This window comes from Homo sapiens, chromosome 2, assembly GCF_000001405.40.
Source record: "Homo sapiens chromosome 2, GRCh38.p14 Primary Assembly".
NCBI lineage: Eukaryota > Metazoa > Chordata > Mammalia > Primates > Hominidae > Homo > Homo sapiens.
In genome coordinates, this window is record NC_000002.12 from 181,667,159 (window position 1) to 181,686,349 (window position 19,191).

The 19,191-nt window shown below is 42.6% G+C and overlaps 1 protein-coding gene across 3 annotated transcripts, besides 2 other annotated features; it reads right to left on the reverse strand.

The window, feature by feature from the left end:
* NEUROD1 (neuronal differentiation 1) lies at positions 1,137–13,359 on the reverse strand. Of its 3 annotated transcripts, none has more exons than NR_146176.2 (2): positions 13,272–13,359; positions 1,137–3,751 (listed from the first exon to the last, which is right to left on the reverse strand). NR_146176.2 is itself a non-coding variant. In NM_002500.5 (2 exons), exon 2 carries the CDS (start codon positions 11,700–11,702, stop codon positions 10,632–10,634), a length of 1,071 nt encoding a protein of 356 aa, NP_002491.3. In that variant the 5' UTR covers positions 11,703–11,713; positions 13,272–13,359; the 3' UTR covers positions 9,309–10,631. The 3 variants fall into 3 exon arrangements, 1 of the variants encoding a protein (NP_002491.3); NR_146175.2 differs by lacking the exon at positions 1,137–3,751 and adding an exon at positions 4,942–6,389; NM_002500.5 differs by lacking the exon at positions 1,137–3,751 and adding an exon at positions 9,309–11,713.
* Positions 14,009–14,585: an enhancer, noted in NCBI's record as "H3K4me1 hESC enhancer chr2:182545894-182546470 (GRCh37/hg19 assembly coordinates)". NCBI's record gives its function as "activates a minimal SCP1, AML or CMV promoter by ChIP-STARR-seq in primed H9 embryonic stem cells {active_cell/tissue: H9 hESC(primed)}" and the evidence as "EXISTENCE:reporter gene assay evidence [ECO:0000049][PMID:30033119]".
* Positions 16,312–16,887: an enhancer, noted in NCBI's record as "H3K4me1 hESC enhancer chr2:182548197-182548772 (GRCh37/hg19 assembly coordinates)". NCBI's record gives its function as "activates a minimal SCP1, AML or CMV promoter by ChIP-STARR-seq in naive H9 embryonic stem cells {active_cell/tissue: H9 hESC(naive)}" and the evidence as "EXISTENCE:reporter gene assay evidence [ECO:0000049][PMID:30033119]".

Below are 19,191 nucleotides of genomic sequence, written 5' to 3' on the forward strand. Positions count from 1 at the left end.
ACTTTATGTAGTTCACTTATCTTACGGATATCATGTACATGTGTGAATTGTGATATAATAAGAAATATGTATTTTGATCTTCATCACTGGCTTCTGGACAGAGCTCCTAAAATCCTTGTAATTCCCAAGAGATAAAAGCAAAAATTGAATTTTTTGTTGTTGTTGTTATAGTATTAGTCTTTTGTCCCTAGCTCCTGAAACAACTCAGAAAGATAAAGGAAAAAGGCGCATCTTTTGTTATTCAAAACATCCCTTTCAACCACACCTGAGTTTATGATAATGAGGTGACTTTCAGAAGCCCCCTAAGGATCAGGGGACTAGTTGCCAGGGAAGCTCACCCTGTGATTACAGAGTTGGAACTTTTAGCTTCACCCCCAATGTTGAGGGAGGGGAAAGGGGCTGGAGGTTAAGTTAATCACCAATGCCAGTATTTCATGAATCATTCCTACTTGATAAAGCTCCATAAAAGCCCTAAATGAAGGAGTTCTGAGAGCTTCTGGGTTGGTGAACACATGGAGGTGCTGAGAGAGTTGTGCTCCATGCCTCTCCCCCATTTTTCACCCTATGAATCTATTCCATTTGGCTGTTTCTGAGTTATATCCTTTATAATAAATTGGTAACCATAAGTAAATGTTTCCCAGAGTTTTGTGAGCCATTCTAGCAAATTATTGAAAGAAAGAGGGGTTTCCTCCAATGTATAGCTCGTCCTTCAGAAGTAAATGAAGTTGAGACTTGTGATTGACATCTAAAGTGGGGGGTAGTCTTTTGGGGCTAAGCCTTTAATCTGCGGGTCTGCACTGACTCTGGGCAGTTGTGTGAGAATCGAGTTGAATTGTAGGACATCCAGGAAGTGTCCAGCAAGAACTAAAGAATTGCTTAGTGTGTGAAAAACTCCACATTTGTTGTCAGAAGGGTTATATGAAAGAACGGAAGGAAAAACAGGGTTTTTTTTCTTTTTAATATGATATATATGATATGTAACAGATATGTATATAAAGTATCATATTATGCAAAAGCAATTCCCTCAAATTTTTTTGAGACTGGCCTCTCTCAACTTTGGGTCCAAGTCAGGTTATTGTGGTATATGCTCCTAATATGCTTAGAAGCACTTTTGTCCAGGTGAGCTGTGCCTTCTAGCCACACTCTTGATTGAGGCTTGCCCTTATGACATGTTTAATTGGAAGTACCCTACTTTTCATCTTTGCTTTGGGGCTAATTTCTTGCTATCAGAATAATTTTCCAGCCAGAGAGTCTGCCTGGGACCCCCTATAGTTCTTCTAAATTATGCTCGCTTATCTCTCCCTTGTAAAACCCTATCTCATATAGTTAAGAGAAGCCAATTAGCCTTACAATATTCTGCCAAAAATCTCCTTACCCAGATCTACAAGTTCGTTAGGTATTTTTTCTATCTTCCAACTTACTGCAGAATTGTTCAGGACCATCCTTGCCCATGTACCAGATGGATCAACTCTGCTTTTCTGAGCCCCATGGTGTTTCACTTCAACGTCTCTCTTACCAGTGCTTTCACTTCTGTTGTCCAAATGCCATAAAACACTACCACTGCTAAGTATTGGCCATTGAGAAAATGCTGAAAAATTAGATGGATTAAGACCACTACAAACTACTATAATATCATGGTCTCTGAATTTGCTTGGCCCTAAGCCCTGCTGCCCTATTATTGATGAGTCTTGATGAAACTTTCTCTTTCTATCCTTAGAGACATTATTCTAAACCTTCAGTGTTCTCCTTTAACTCCCCTAGTCAGAAGGTCAACATGCCTCCACTGTCACATAACAGGACCTGGTAAGAATAAACTTCTGCTACTCTGTTACCCTTACTGCTAACATTCTCTCTTTCTACCCTGACTCCTATATCTGGATATAAGTCCTTCCAGTTTAATGTAATTCTGTACCTATGTTACAGGTCTTCTACCCTCCACTCTACCCAACACCTTCCTCAATTTCGTCTTCACTATGTCCAGGGTTTTCTCCATCTTAGTGTATAAAAATGAGCAAGCAACAACAAAATCAAAGCCTCTCTTGTATCAGGCAATTCTTGTGTGTGACCAAAAACCCATCTCAAACCAGCTTAAGTTAATAAAACCTACTTAGAGGCGTAGGGATGGCTTATGGAAAGACTTAATCCACAGTTCAAATAATATAATGCAAAAAACAATTCCCCTTTCTTTCTTCACTCTGCTTTCTACTGGGTGAGAATCATCCTCTGCTCCCCGTCTATCTTTCTACCCTACTCTAATTCTCCCCTCCAAGTACTGAAATGCTGCCACATTCCAGACCTCTAATCCACACACATACCACATTTGTCACAAGAAAGGCACATGTCTCTGTTGATATTTCTTACATAAAAAGGATGTTTCTCTATTCCAATAAAGTCTTCTTGCATAACATTTTGTCTTAATAAGTTAGCATTTTTATCAGTCAGCAGAGGCAGAGTTATGATGTGGTTTTTAAATTTTTTCAGTGGCTTAAAAAAATAAAATTTTATTCCTTACTGATGTTCACCTGACTAAAGGTGGGCACAAAATGAAAAAGAAAGCAAGCATAAGAAATGAAAGTACCAACTATCCCAAAACAAACAGACCAATCAAGATTAAAAACAAGACAGATCCCCAGATCTACATAAAACCAAAACTTATAATGAAATACATTCAGATGAAATACACACTAACTTGTATTTAGAGCAATCAAAATAGACAAATAATCAGATGAAAGCCCCATATAACTAAAGGTGAAGTCTTAGCCTCTTAAGCTCACCAGAAGAGTACTGGCTCAAGGTCCTATAAAACCCAAAAATAGAGACAGAATTTTTAGAAGTCATGGCACTTAAATTCATTTGGACTAGAATTTTTTTAAAATTATGTACTTTAAAATATGAACTTGTGTGTTAAATGAGTGTCTATGAAATCGGGAAAGTGCTACATTTGTTCTTTCAAAAGCTCTATTAATATATATGCTAATCCACAAATCAAATAAATATGACATTTTCTTCACATGAAGAATACATAATAGCTGATATTTGATAATTTTTTGTGAGTTCAAAGATGAGACTTTAAAAAAATTACCCATAGTTTATTGGCTAGGCCCATTCACACTTCACTAAATGTAGATGTCAGTTTAAGTCATTCACATGAATAATAAACAATAAAACTTTTATATAATTCAGATGTTTATTAAACAGCTGTTTTTTGTCAGCTTGTTTAAATGTCAAACCCGATACCAACTACGTATACTGGTTGTTATATACTGTATCATTAAAAGTTTAAGAAGACATTTTCAGAAGAATTTAAATGAACTCTCCTATACTTATATATATTTAACATCAATTCATTAGAGATTTTAGTATACCTATCAGTTTCCTAGGGCTGCCATAACAAATCACCAGCAACTGGGTAGCTTAAGACAACAGAAATGTATTATATTACAGTTCTGGAGACAAGAAGTTTAAAATCAAGGTGTCAGCAGGGTTGATTCCTTCTTAGGGATTCAGAAGGAGAAGCTGAGAATTCCTGTCTCTTTCCCAGCTTCTGATGTGGGCCCCAAATCCTTGGGGCCCCTTGATTTGTAGACACATCACTCCAGTCTCTGTCTTTGCCTTCACATGCCATTCTTCCTGTATGCTGTGTGTCTGTGTGTTCTGTCTGCTTCTTATCAGGACATCAGTGATTGGATTTAGGGCCCACCGTAATCCAGCATGAACTTGTATCAATTTACATCTTATATCTTAATTAAATCTGGAAAGACAATATTTCAAATGAGGCCACATTTTGAGGTTCTGGATGGACATAAATTTGGGAGAGAGGTGGGCAAGGGAAGGGGATACTACTCAACCAAGTATAGCATATGTGTGCACACACACACACACACACACACACACACACCATATATACACATATATATATATACGTTTTCCCTTGACAATATGTTTTAATATAAATGCACCAGTAGTTAATTAGACAAAAAATAAAACCTGGGAAGCAAAGATCTCTTCGCTTAATATTTTTAATATGCCAGTCAGAATCAAAGAATCATTAATTTATTTATCCAAAAATCTTATGTTATTTTAAGGTATCTAAACAAGTAGCCTTGCCTCTATTAACAAAGAAATTCTTCTAGTAAAGAAATATTGTGATAAATATCACTACTTAGGTTTAGTTATAATTTATATCCATTTGTACTATCATTTATTATGTATTTAGGCACTGGCTAGAATAAAGATTATTCAGTTAACAAACAATGACAAGTGATGTTATCTCAAATCATTTTTTTTTTGAGACAGGGTCTCACTTTGTCACCCAGGCTGGAGTACAGTGGTACAATCACGTCTCACTGCAGCCTTGACCTCCCCAGGCTCAGGTGATCCTCCCACCTGAGCCTCCCGAGTAGCTGGGACTATAGATGCATGCCATCATGCACCACTAGTTTTTGTATTTTTTGTAGACACGAGGTTTCACCATATTGCCCAGACTGGTCTTGAACTCCTAGGCTCAAACTATCCACCCCCATTGGCCTCTCAAAAGTGCTGGGATTACAGGTGTGAGCCACTGCACCCAACCACCGAATTTTCTTTTTAGAACACTCTATTATCCTCTTTCTGCTTTGATGTTAACATTACTTAGTCACGTACCTGCTATGAATAAACAAGCACTACAATTGTTAGTGACACCAGTGGAAAGGGATTAACAGTTCTCTTAAGCATTGCAATACCCCTTCATTGACGTCACCAAAAGTGATGGTGATCTCTTAACTGACACCATTGAGCGCGAACACTAAAAAGATAGTATTGATGTGCTAAGTTTATACACTGAACCCTTCAAAATAGAAATTATGAGCTACAGTAATTTTACATAACACTAAAAATAGAACAAGTGCAATTACTGAAAGAATAATGAACAGAAAGGAAAAAATAATATGCATTGAAATACATGGTCTGGAAAAAGCCTATAATAGTTTTTCTTTTATTCCAATTCCAGATTATATTTAACCAATTGATATCAATAAAAAGAAACAATGACAGACAACTCATGATCCTCAAAAAGGAAGTGGGGGGAGTTTGGTGCCATGCAATATAATAAGAAATTAGTTTCAATTGTTTTCTTTTTATAGAATTAATGTTTATAACACTTGCTGGACTGAAAATAATTTGTGGTCCTCTCCATTCTCAACTGATTTGACTTATAGCATAGTGGTTAAGGCAACAGGCTTTAGCATCACATTAGTGCTCTTCAGTTCCCTTGGAAAGTTAATATTTATTGAGGATCCTCTAGGTCTTCTAAGCACCAGAGGAACAGCAACACACAGAAGAGACAACTTTGTCTCTGTTTCTCAGGTGCTCAGAAGACCTAGAGATAGATAGTTTAAAATTAAGCTATACAAGTAAATACATAAGATAACATTTGATAGGCAAATGCTCTGGAAAGAGGGAGGGGCAATACAGTGATTTTGGTGGAGTTGAAGTCAGTTGCTATTTTAAATGGGAATCAGTAAAAGCTTCTTTGAGGAAGTGGCAATGAAAGAAAAACCTGAATGAAGAAAGGAAGACAGGAATGCAAATATCTAGGTATCTCAACTTCCTGAAGTTTCCCCATCTATAAATAAGGCAGGAGGGTGCTTTGATGATGAAATATGAAAGTGAATGAAAAGCACTTAGCAGTGGGCTAGTGTGTGAAGCCATCTCTCTGGTTGGCTGTCCTTAGACATGAAAGTGTAAAGCAGGTTAGCTTTTGATCTTGTTAAAAGAAAAGTCAGTTACCAAATTACTTCATATATGCTAGATTGAACTTACTCTATCTCTCCATATCATTTCACAATTGGATCCATCTCTTAGAATTGTGGATCTGTAGAGATGGTTATTGTCACCATCCATCTACCTCTAAATTAACTGGGCAAATAACATAATAATGCTTAGATGGCCAAATCCACATTTAATGTATCTGAAGATTTAATCCAGCATTAACATAATACTCTGCATTTTAAAATTAGCAATTTCTCCTGAAGTCCCCAGAGACTGTGGCCCTGTCTTGTCAATGCCACTAGTTTGGCTGCACAGTTAATTCCATCAGAGCCACTGGACCAAGCCTTAGTGTATGTGAAGAGAGTCCATGAGTCAATTGCCAGCACAGAATTCTTCCTGTCATAGGAAGGCAGATGATCTCAACTTTTGAGTGCATACAGTGCAGATTTCTAGTTGAATGGTTCTTGACAATAGTGTCCTCTGAAACATAATGCCTGGCCAGGAGCCAATGATTATGCCACCATACAAATCACTGTGCATCTGACGCCAGAACGCCTCTTTGCAATGGTAACAACAAGAGTTCTCAGTCCTGGTGTTCCACAAGATGTTGCATTGGCTCTTTTATTCTTCATCAGACCCTGGAATTAAATATTTTATTTAGATGATTTTCAGGAAATAAGTGGTGTTAGAGAGAGAGAAAAGGAGAAGTGAGGAGGTTTTTGTGTAGTTTAAGAAGCAGTTTTGCTATTTTACATTTCCCATTAGGAGAAAATTAGCCAATATTTTGAAACCTAGTTTTATTAATTGCTTAATAGGTATTTTCACTTTAAATTTCTTGTATAATTATAGAACTAAAACAGCTTGATTCAAACTGTTAGCTAATGATCCATATATCATTTTAGTAATTGCTAGCTTCTTTCAGAAAATGCATTAATTTTGTAAGAATGTAAGGACTTTCAAATGTAAAAACAGAGAGATTTTAAGATAAATTAGAACACAAAATTTATTTCAAATGGTATTTTACTGTAACATATTATAAACCTAAAATTAGTAGAACACTCTTGATATTATAATCTTTCATTTTAATTTATATATAATTGTTTTAATGATTAAAAGTAGATAGATCATACTATATAGCTGCAATTGGTTATATAAAGTAAAATATGTTATGTGAAGTGTTCCTATTCAATAGTAATTATGCATGTTACAATATTTAGCCCAATTTCATCTTTATGAAATTTCCCCCTGATTTTACATACCAGCTTTTTCTAGAAATAACTATTCATAGGATTTTCACATTAAACAAGTATACCTAAGCATCTTATTTGATAGGAATAGTCGTGGCTCAAGATGAAGAAACAGATAGAATCCCAAATATTATTCATGACAAGCATTAAACAGCAAAACTAAACGAAATATTTTTTCCAGTGAAGCCAAACTTGCCAGCATTTTTTTTTGGTTGGTTTTCATTTAGTAAAATATGTTCTTTTCTTACAAACTGGGTATAAGCATTAGCCAATTACAAAAACTGTAAGAGTCTCTTTTAAATATGGGTAGGAATTCATAAAAGAAGATAATTTAAAATGTTTCTTATGGTTTGAAAATGCCTTCCAAATATTCATTAAACATTTAAGTGAGTAAATTTGTAGAATATGTTTCTGACATTGGCACTGGTTCTGTGGTATTTCTCTGATCAGATGGAAGTGCTATGTGTTATGCAGAGTGCATGCAGTTCATTCATGCATAAACAATATCATTTTCATAAATTAAATCCTCCCCTGCAGAAGGAACATCTGTGCCTGCCTTTGAATAAAAGATGGTGGCATGTGAGTTACTCCTTGACTGACTGAAAGAATCCCTATGTTTTAGAATGAAGTTGTATTGGCAAAATGGGAAGAAAAAAAAAAAAAACCTAACTTTTAGTCTTCATTTCTACCTTACAAAAGAACACAGTCTAGATTTCCCTGTTTGCTATTTTGGAAGCTGGAATTCTCAAAATGGCATTCTTTTATTTCTTCTCTTCACTACAGCAACAGATTTTAGTTTGCATGAAGATGTCTAATTTTAATTGCAGGTGAAATTGAGCTACTTAATAGGTTAGATCAGATCTGAATGCTCACTTCATTACCTCCTACACTGGAAGGCTGGTAGTATTCAAGTATCATATCAGTATTATGTCTCTTAAAGTAAGAACAGTGAGAACAATCCAGGATATAGAAAGCAACAGCTTGATTCCAAAATAACAACTCTGATTCACTTGGAATGAGATTGCTGCATTTTAGATAAAGTTGGGACTAACTTAAAAGTATTTCTGTCATGTGATGAAGGCTGATAGAAAACATGTTAAAATAATATATTTTAAATTGCTCTCAAACATTTTTTTAACGTCGAAGTATTCCTTACTGCTTCTGTCACAGCTTGACGCAGCCTCATTGGCAATGTTATTAGTATGGCTAATTGTTCCTGTCCATTACATTACTCACATTTTTCTGGAGCAGCTTGCTAAATGAGGTCAGCTTTCTGGAACCCCTAAATCACCAATGAGAAGGAGATTAAAGGAACAAGCTTGGGAAGGGGGGTAGTCATCCAATGTGGCACCCGAATCAGAGTAGAAACAATGGAGTTACTAATGACAGTAATCAGAGCACCACAGTAGAGCCAGGGCACAAGTGCCAAAATGATATTCCCTAGGAATCATGACTGTCAGTCAATACATCCAGAGGAAAAGAAATGCCAAACTGTTTTTTTTTTTTTGAAGTGGACTTAACAATAGACAGAATCATCCATAAGTTTTTCCAGTGAGTTGTGTTCATGAAACAACAGAATAGTGCCCCAAAGGGTGGGGGGAGGAAATAATTACACCTTCCTAAATACAGTACAAATAGTGTGTTCTTCAGTACAAATAATCCATTATGCTTTTTCTTGGAAAAATGATGGAAATCATCACAAGATGTTAATAGAACAATTATAAAATGTTACTTCTCTTGGATTCTTTAAATTAATTAACTCATTTCCCTTTGGTACTTCCTAAAGGTGTATAAATTTTTCTGGGACAGTACTAGTTTGCAAGATAAAACTGTTTAGTTCAGAAAAATGTACAGATAACAGAAGACCAAGAAAATAGTAATGTTTTATACATCTTAAATGTATAGACAAACTAAGCTAGGATACTTGTTTATGTCTTGCTTGTTAATAATTATTAAAATCCACCTTTTAAAAAAAGAAATAGAAGAAAACATGTAACAATCATTTTTAAAAATGGAAATAAAAAACCTAAAGGCTAAGCCACTTAAAACAAAGAAAAAAACACACTGTTTGTACTGCCGTCCAGTCCCATATTCCAAATAATGAAATATCAGTTAGGTCTTTTCATTATCTACATAGAACTGGTGACTCCCTGTGCAAGATAAACAGACAAGAGCATATGCCAAGGTAAACTTTTTTCTTTTCTTTTATTCTACATATAGTGTTTAGTATTTTTTAACTCAGCAAAAAAGCAACTACTTTCCCCAAAAATAAAAACAGAATCCCTTTAAGAAGAAATGCAACAATTGCTCTCACTTTCAATACTATTTTATTGCAACTGGATGAATGTTTTCTAAATTGTGCATTACACCATAATATACAGGATTACAAACAAAATTACAGTACAGATCGATTCCAGTGGTACCAGCATCACATCTCAAACAGCACTTATTCTGGACTGCATTTTACATGCAATAGCTATTGTTCTAATTATGAATTAAATGGTTTGAATTTATTTAAGCTACTGTACTAATTGACTACTATAGATATAAATCCCAACATTAACAACCTGATTAGATTTAGGCTCAGATTTATTACATGAATATATGACAAACCACCATTTTTGTGACTATGTATAAAATCATGCATTTATATTTTCTGGAAACATCAATAGCTTCAGATTCTCTGTAAAATCATGGAATGCAAAGGAGTAAAAGACTAAAAAGTAACAGTGCAAATTGTATGTGATAGTCAAGCAGCTTTTGATTTAAAGAAGGGTATGTTGGCATTTATTTATAATATGTATATACAAGCTTGTGCAAGTAATGTGTTGAATTGATATGTTTTGATAGGGAATGTATCTCTTAATTTTTTCTTCTCTTGAAAATTATGATTCTGGTTTTTATTTTAGGGAGACGGAAAGACTTTAAAGTGAAATGAATTGCTCAAATTGTGCAATTTTTTTTTTTTTTTTTTTTTTTTTTTTTTTTTTACAATTGGAGAGGAAAGAAGTGCTAAGGCAACACAATAACTTTCTAAGCACTTTTCTGCTGGTTTAAATTAGTTAAATTATTTTGTATAAATTAGATATAATTCTACTTTTCTGATATGTATAAAAATTGATGAAGCTGCATGGTTTTAAAATAGGAAATCCACATTATAAAAAGTCATTAAAAATTCTGTACAAAATCACAACAAAATAATTCAGCATGGGAAAGGTAACAAGTAGTAAAATGCTGGTTGAAAAATATATATTTATATATATTTTAATTGGCCCATTACTAGTTTAAAAATTGCATAGATCCTAATTATTGCTTGTGATTTTGTTATCCCGATCAGATAATTAATACGATCTGAATACAGCCACACCAAATTCGTGGTGTATTTTTTAAACTTTACTGTATTTTTTTATTTTTTAAATAGAAGAGCTATAGAAAATAATACATAAGGTGAACAGGAACTTTGATCCCCTGTTTCTTCCAAAGGCAGTAATGACAATAAATACATATATCACTTGAAGCTTGGAGTATTTGCACTTTGCAGCAGTAGTACCCAAAGGGCTGCCTTTTGTAAACACGACAGTCACTGTAAGCACAGTGGGTTCGTTTCCCGGAAATGGTGAAACTGGCGTGCCTCTAATCATGAAATATGGCATTGAGCTGGGCACTCATGACTCGCTCATGATGTGAATGGCTATCGAAGGACATAATATTGTCTATGGGGATCTCGCAGCGAGGGGCAGCGGTGCCTGAGAAGATTGATCCGTGGCTTTGGGCCCCTGCCAGTGTCGCTGCAGGATAGTGCATGGTAAAGGCATAATTTTTCTCAAACTCGGCGGACGGTTCGTGTTTGAAAGAGAAGTTGCCATTGATGCTGAGCGGCGGGCTGAGGGGTCCATCAAAGGAAGGGCTGGTGCAATCAGTCAGAGGGCTTTCAAAGAAGGGCTCCAGCGCTGCGCTGTAGGCGTGCGGCGGAGGCTTAACGTGGAAGACATGGGAGCTGTCCATGGTACCGTAAGGCGGACTGGGCAGCCCAGGCGACTGGTAGGAGTAGGGGTGTACAGGGAAGGAAGCGCTGGCCGTCGGCAGGTGGGGGGGCATGTCCTGGTTCTGCTCAGGCAGAAAAGTCCGAGGATTGAGTTGCAGGCAGCCCGCAACCAGGTTGGTGGTGGGTTGGGATAAGCCCTTGCAAAGCGTCTGAACGAAGGAGACCAGGTCTGGGCTTTTGCCTGAGCGCAGGATCTCCGACAGAGCCCAGATGTAGTTCTTGGCCAAGCGCAGAGTCTCGATTTTGGACAGCTTCTGCGTCTTAGAATAGCAAGGCACCACCTTGCGCAGGTTGTCTAGCGCCGCGTTCAGTCCGTGCATGCGGTTCCGCTCCCGGGCGTTAGCCTTCATGCGTCTCAATTTAAAACGCTCCAGGCGAGCCTTAGTCATCTTCTTCTTTTTGGGGCCGCGTCTCTTGGGCTTTTGATCGTCATCCTCCTCTTCCTCTTCTTCCTCCTCTTCCAGGTCCTCATCTTCGTCCTCCTCCTCTCCCCCGTTCCTCAGTGAGTCCTCCTCTGCGTTCATGGTTTCGAGGTCGTCCTCCTTCTTGTCTGCCTCGTGCTCCTCGTCCTGAGAACTGAGACACTCGTCTGTCCAGCTTGGAGGACCTTGGGGCTGAGGCTCGCCCATCAGCCCACTCTCGCTGTACGATTTGGTCATGTTTCGATTTCCTACATTCAACAAGGGAGAGGCAAACAGAAAGAAAAGCAGAAAAACGCTATATTCAAAAGCCAGATACGCCTTCAGCTTCCACTCCCTAAACCTGTACAAATGCTTGCGAAAAGTACCTGCCCATTACAAAATGAATGCCTCTGAGAAAAAGTTAAATGCAGTGTTTTATAATGGCGCGTGCGTGTGCCCCGCTAGTACGTAGGAGTGAGGACAGGACTGGGGGAGGGTAGTGAATATGTATATGTGTACACCACTCACGCATATGTGTTTGTATCCTAGTGATTAACTTAAATGTGTTTATGGTGGTTGCCCGACAGGATAATGTGTGTGGAAATGACTGTACATTTCAGCGACTTCATGTTTATCCAAATGTGTTCAAAGTTACTCACAACTCCATAAAAAAAAAAAAAAGCTGTAAAATCACACATTCTACTTCCATTTCTGTCCTGGCTTCCAGATACTTAGCGATTTAAGTTGAACAGCCATTGCGTAATTTACTAATACTGGCAGCGATTTTTAAGAAGATTACATCGACGGGATACTGAAAAGCAAATGCAGAAAGGAGGAAAAATAGTTTCCACCAAATTGTTTCACCATCAATGTAACATTTGGCAACAAAAGTGGACAGGGTCTTCCACCCCTCCCTCGCCTTTCTTTTCTTGCCTTCCATCTCTGGCCCACCGCTAAATTTCCACCTTGTACAAAAGCGCTAGCTGCAGGGCGAGGGCTGGGGGCGCGGCGCAGAGCGCTCTCCCACGCGCCGGGGATCAGGTGCGGAAGGCTCCTCTCTAATAAACAGCCCATTGAAAGGGCCGCCCGCTCTTTATTGGGGCTTTTCAAAGTTCGCCTCAAACCTCCCTTTAAAAGATTGAGTAATTATAATGGTCAGCGATTGGCAACCGCGAAGTTGCCGCTTCTAGTAAGGAAAATAAAAAGCCTTTAGTAAAACAACTGAATTTCTGGCTCCAGTAGTGGCTGCTGGGGACTTGGCCGCCTCTGGAGCGGTAACAGGTAGCAGGAGTGAGTCCCTCTCCCTTTCTCCACTTTCCCCCCTCTCAACTAAACTATCTCTGAACCTGATTTATTTTCCATGGTGTGAATACTCAAGGTATCCATGTCCCTTTCATTCACTGAAAACACAGCTTGACACTCCCAATGTGCGTAAAATACATGCACACAAAATATATATTGATAACATAGATTTTTTTTTCTTACTGTAAGAAGTGAGAAAGTGAAGTCATTATTGCTTTTGGGACTTTAAAATCAGCACTAGCAGATAATCATAGTTACCGTGCATTCTTTTAAAAAATCCAAGAAGCTCCTATGCTATCCACAAAAGAAACCCAAATTTTTAAAATTTAAATTAGAAAGCCTGCAGGGGGTACTTGAGTGACACGACTCATTATGTGTGAGTACTTATGGGCAATTATGGAGGGGGATGCTGGTCTCAATACACATACACACTCTCGCAAACGCACACATACAGAATATGTAGGTTCATCAGTCTTCAGTTATTGCTTCTATTCTGGGGCAAAAAAATGAAAGAACTGTAATTACCTTTGTTGTTAGTAGGTCCTGAGCAGTGATAGTCTCATAACCCTGGGGCCTCCGGACGCCGCGCCTCCTGCGTGGGCGAATTCCTCGTGTCGTGGCCGCGCGGGCGCTCAGGTTATATAGCCCAGTTAGTGATGCTAAGCGCGGGCGGGGCCGCTAGCTGAGGGGCTAGCAGGTCTATGCGCCTGACGCCTGCGCACGCGTCCAGGCTGTGCGCTCCCCGTTCTCCCCTCCTCCCCACTTCTCCCCACGCCTTGCTCGTCTCCCGCCCTCCTCCGACAACCGCTCCCCTCACCCTCCACCCCTACCCCCGCCCCTCCTCCTTCCTCCCCGGCATGCGCCATATGGTCTTCCCGGTCCAGCCAAGAGCCTGGAACCACGTGACCTGCCCATTTGTATGCCGCGGAGCGCTCCATTCCGGCCCCTTTGTGGCCAGAAGAAAGTGGCCCATCTGTCGCCAGTTAGAGACTCCGCGGACCTGTTTTTACCCGCAGGAGAGATTAACCCTTTCAGGCGGCAGAAGGGACGGGGATAGAGGGGGGAGGGGATTTGAGGGAAGGAAGGGAAAAGCTAATGTTAACTAGGTCTAGATCAGAGCGAGTGGCCTGCTTTCGCGCCGGAAGTAGGACAGAGGTGAAAGAGGCAGAAGCGGGGAGACTGAGGCACGCAGTGAAGAGTCCTCGCTCCTTTCGATTTCTTGTCCTGACACTGGCATCCAGAGCAGCATGACTCCTTGCCCTCTCTGAAAGGCCCATCCCTTGGCTTCTTCTCCTTGGCAGACGCTTTGATCATTGGCGCCAAAGGATGGCTTCTCCTAATCTCCGTCGGCCCCTCTAAGCAAACATATACGCCATATAAAAGCGGCTTCATCTGTAAACGCAGCGTTGAGATTAGTTCCCCAACCTCCCTAACCGGATCGTCCTCTCCCAGTTCCTTCAGTACAGAAAAGTTGTACCTGCCATTCTATCCCTACCATACGTGCAATTCTTCATGTCCTGACCTTCAGCTACGACTGTTCCTCCAGACCCTCTCACTACGTCAGTCCCCACCTCCATCCCCAGGATCTTGTCCTCAAAGCGAGCTAGTTCTCGCGAGGAGGCCTTGGTTCCATTGGCCTTTGCGCTCTCTTATGTGGGAGCTGGGGACTTCTTTGACGGTTGTATTCTGCCTTTTAACCATGGCCACTGGGTTGCTGGAAAGGGCACCCTCACTCAGCCAGTCCAGGGACGCTTCTGGTTCCCTGGCCAGCCCGCCCTGGACGGCCTCGGCTCTCTAGTCCAGGCATTGACCACAAGTACGGTGGTGGACACCTCGCCACAGCCGGACCTGCGCTCTTGCTCCCCTCAGTCTCGGGTCTGTATAAGATACTTGATTCAGACAAGCGTTTTCAAAGAGAAGATGCAATGGGCCTGTGCTGAACGGGTCTTTCCGATCTCTTTCTAGAAACGCCTTTAGCACAACCCCGGAAGGATTAATGGCTGCGAACTCCTCCAGACTTCAAAGCCTCTGATTTGAAACTCCCAACTTGAAGGTCAAGCAAAGACCACAGAAATTCTCGACCAGTTCTGAAGGAGCCATATTGTTGCCCAAATAGCAATTCTTTACTCTTTTCGAACAAGGGTTTTCCAGAATAATAGATTTTAAAAAGAAAGAAAGAAACTGGCCTGTCTACTCGTTCTTTCCCAGCTTTGCCTCTAATCCTTCATTAACTAACTCCTTACCCCCTCCCAGACCTGAAACCCTCTGCAATAAATACCTCTTACGTGAATTGCTTATTTAAAGGCAATTGCACTAAACATCCCTCGAGTTTGCAAACAGCGACAGGGTTGAGAGGCTGGATTGGGGTGCATCTGGGAGAGGGTGGGGACGGGAGGAGAGAGTAGGGGTAGAGGAAGAGGGTCCTAGCCAGATCCCCGGTGTCTGAAGGTAGCAGGTGCAGCCTTCCCTGCACAGTACTAATCTAAAAGGGGAAGAAAAGAGTTGTGCCACCGAAGCGTGGCGTGAATCGTTGTGGGGTTCTGGAGTTTTGCTTGCTTTTCTACATTCACTTGGCTGACAAAGCGCATAGGGGAGGATAAAATAATTCACCCAGGAGCCTGGGCCCAGGATTTACCCCTGTACTGTCTGTATCTTCAGTGTTGGGCTAAAACTCGAGGGCGTCGGAGTACTAGCCCTTAGAAGATAGTACACAGCCCGACGTTTGCGGCAGGGCCAGGTTAAGTACTGCCCCTCACCCGGCAGCTGCCCCGACTGGCAGCACACTATGCCGCAGGCATATGCAACTCGTGCCTAGGCTCTCATTTTTCCAACTTTGGGGAGTTCCGGAGGAGAACTGGGGACGGAGTGGGAGAAAGGACTCCAGCTAGCTTCGAGGTCAGGGGTAGCCTAGAGGTCCCTCTGCTAAATCCTTGTCCTCACCCCCAGAAAGCAGAAACCTCCAGTTCGCGACATCCTGTGCAATACAGGAGAATTATGGTGGAGTCAGATGTTCTTGAGCAAGAGGGACGCCCGAGTGTTTTGCCAGACGGAGACTCAAATGCGTAAAGTGCGGGAATTACTAGTCTGTTTCCTCCCTCTACCCTTGATAAATTCATCTCTAATCCCACTGCGCGTTGTTCGCTCAGGCCTGGAGATTTGTACAAAGGAAAGGCCACTCCAGGATGTTTCAGAGACAGGGCTGAGGTTGGGTCTCACGGTAGCTGTCCTTGGGCTTCCCATCCCGCAGCGCTCCGATGTGACCCTCCTCTGCGCGGAAAATTTCGACCCGGGGCGCCGGCATCGCGACGCTCAGCCAGTGCCCGCGAGGCTCCCAGGAGATGCGGGGTAGTAAGGCCCTAAAAAGAGGAGCCTGGACACGGCCTGGATTGAGGTGCGTTTTGTTTGGGGTTGAAGGCGCGAGAAATTGGGGCGAGAGAAGAGAGTCAGCCGGATCCCGGAGAGGACAGAGCTGAAGGCGCGGCGGGGCTTAGCACTGAGGACCTTCTCCGCGGCCCCGCTCCTCCTCCTTATTTTCTTCTCTTTGGACTTGTTTGGACGGTTGCACACTTTTCCCCCTCCTGATTCCCTAAGTTTTTTGTCTCTCCCCTCGCTGCCCGTTAGCTGTACTCCCCCAGCTCCCGTCCCTACTGGGCGCTGCAGGCTACCCAGCGGCACGCGAACCGCACGCGCGGACAACAAAAGCCTCTTTCATGACTCACTGCCCTCGAGCAATGCCCCAAATCTGCCGCCTCCCGGGTCCCCGCTCTGAGCGCGCGGCGCGGGCCGGGCGTCCCGGCCGTTACAGCGGCAGCCGGAGCGCCCGCGGGAAGGGGGGCGGGAGGAGGCGTGTGGCCAGGGGTGGGGAGAGGGGAGTGTGGCCTGGGCCGGGCGGAGGGGAAGGGGGAGGCATGTGGGAGGATGGGGGTGGGGAAGGGATGGAGGCGTGTGGCCCGGACGTAGGGGGTGGGAAGCGTGTGGCTGGAGGCGAAAGCGGGGAGCGGGAGGTCGGGGGCGAAGCATTCACAGGGCCAAGATAAAGCGCAGGGGCCGGGCCGGCGTCCCTGGCGGTGACCTGTTTCTCAGGGAAACAGATGCTCGCTCTTGCAAAGGGAGGTTTGCGTTCAATGAAAGGATCAAGTGTGGCCAGGGCAGCCCGGCCGACCTCGAGAGGTTCCCGCGTCCTCTCCCCGCCCTGCCTAGGAGTGGGGTGTCGGGGCCTGGGCGCGGGAGAGCGGAGTGAGGGGGCCGGGTGGCTGAGGGGCCCGCGAGACCGTGGGGCTCAGGGGCCGCAGGAACGGAGGGCTGAGAGCTGCAGGTCCTGCACAGGCTGGGTAGCTCGGAGGCTCTTGAGAGCTTCGGGGGATGAAGGGGGGTTGATGCGGGTTCTGACCAGACCGCCGACGCGGCGCCTCCGCCCCGGGGGAGGCAGTTGGGCTCCCGGGTCCTGGCCTGAGGCTGGAGCTGCCCAGGCTCGACAGGCAGGCGACCCGGGAGAGCCAAGAGCAACGAGAGACGCTATTAAAATGCCTCGCCGTCGCCCCGAGCGCAAAACCCATCCTCCCCAAATCTCCTGGGCTTGCGGCATAATCTTAATTAAGATAATTGATTCATATTGCACCTGCGAGAACGGAAAAAATTGATTTCAACCCCCAACCCCACAAATCGCTTAGAGCTATTGGATGGAGCACGACGCGACTGTGATTTAGGGAGTGATTTAGTGCCGGGCTTCCCCAGCTCGGCCTGCCTGGGCCTTTTTATTTATTATTTATGCCCTCCCGGTCCCGACGGGGCTTTGGTGGCTCCTTTGTCGGCTCCCACAGGCCTTGGAAGGACTTGTCTCTGATTCCCTGTCAGGATCCAGGGGCTTTCCTTAAACCATCCAACACTCAGAATCAACAACGTAAAATCAACTCAGTAGGAGTATCTTGGCAGTCGTAGGTCACGGGCACAATTGCTCAAGGCCTCGTGCGTCCGATGCCCTGTGTGTGCAAAAGTGTGTGATTGCACTTGAATGTACGTGTGTGAATCCGTGTGTGTGCAAGATTATGTGAATGTGTGTGCAAATCGTGTGTGCATATAATGAGTGTGTGATTGTTAGTGTGTATGTGAACATATGAGTGTGTGCAGGTGTGTGTCAATGAATGTGAATGTGTATGTGAAAGTGGGCATAAGTGGATGGGTGTGAGAGTGTTAAGTGTATGTCCACGGTCGCACCTGCTTTCGGGTGAGGAGCGTGAGCAGAGGGCGCACACCTGTTTCCCGGGGATCGAGGAACAGCTTGCTGTCCAAAGGGGATCGCAGGGCCAGGGAACTGACAAGCACACGCTATTTGCCAACCTTTGCCTTAATAGAAAGAAGCAAGCAAACAAAAATCCTCGGTAGCTGTGTGTAGCTTCAGGAGTGGAGAGCCGAGACACACCGACGGCGCCGGAGCGTCGCAAGAACAATGGTTGCTGCAGTGGGTTGGGAGAGAGGACCCGGACAAGTTCCTAAAGGCACGGGAGGAACGCGGGCAAACCAGGTTTAGGGCCCCAGGCGAATTGTGGAAGGAATGACTTCCTCAACCTATCAGCACCGTGGACAATTCCCACTCCAACGGCCCTGACCTTCGGCCTACTAGATTCAGCAAAAATCTCTCTTCCTCCCTTGCTTCCTCCTTTCCTTCCTCCCTTCCTCCTTTCCTTCCTGCCTTCCCTCCCTCCCCTTCCTCCTCCTTTCCTTCCTTTCCTCCCTCCCCTTCTTCCTCCTTTCTTTCCCTTCCTCCTTTCCACTCTTCCCTGTTTGCTTTGTTTCAAAAACAAAAACAAACAAACAAAAAACATGGGGCGCCATGACTGAGCTTTTAGTCAAAGAGACCTGTAAGTCTGCATCTAATTAGGCACATATTCACAGTAAGTTTCCTATAAAACTAGGTAGCCAGATTTAGGGGCAAGGAAAGAGCTTAAACTATAATTTGAGCTGGCTAGTCTGAAACAAAGACAGAAATCATAAATTGAATAGCTTTCAAAAAGATAGTCATTATTCCAATATTTGCACTTATTTGCCACACAGCTTCAAAACCAAAATGAATTTCTTGTTTACTGTCCATAGAAATAATAAAATATCTCTAAAAATGTTTTTGATTTTGCTTGTGTTTTATGGAGTATAAGTTTTATTGAAAATATAAAATCTTTTTCACCACCACTTTATCAACATTTCAGTTATTTCATACTGTAAACAATTTCTGGTAAATTCATGAAAAAATAAGCCAACAGAAGTTAAATGGCATTATTCACTCAGATTCAGTGAGCCACACAATTAGCTAAATCATGCCAGATCTAAAATATTGCATAATGAGTAGTCATAACTTATCCAGCATATACTGGAAAAGTCTAGTAAAGACATAACTGAGAAGAGAAAGCTCCTTTGGTACTTTGAACATCTGAGAAATATATACACCATATCC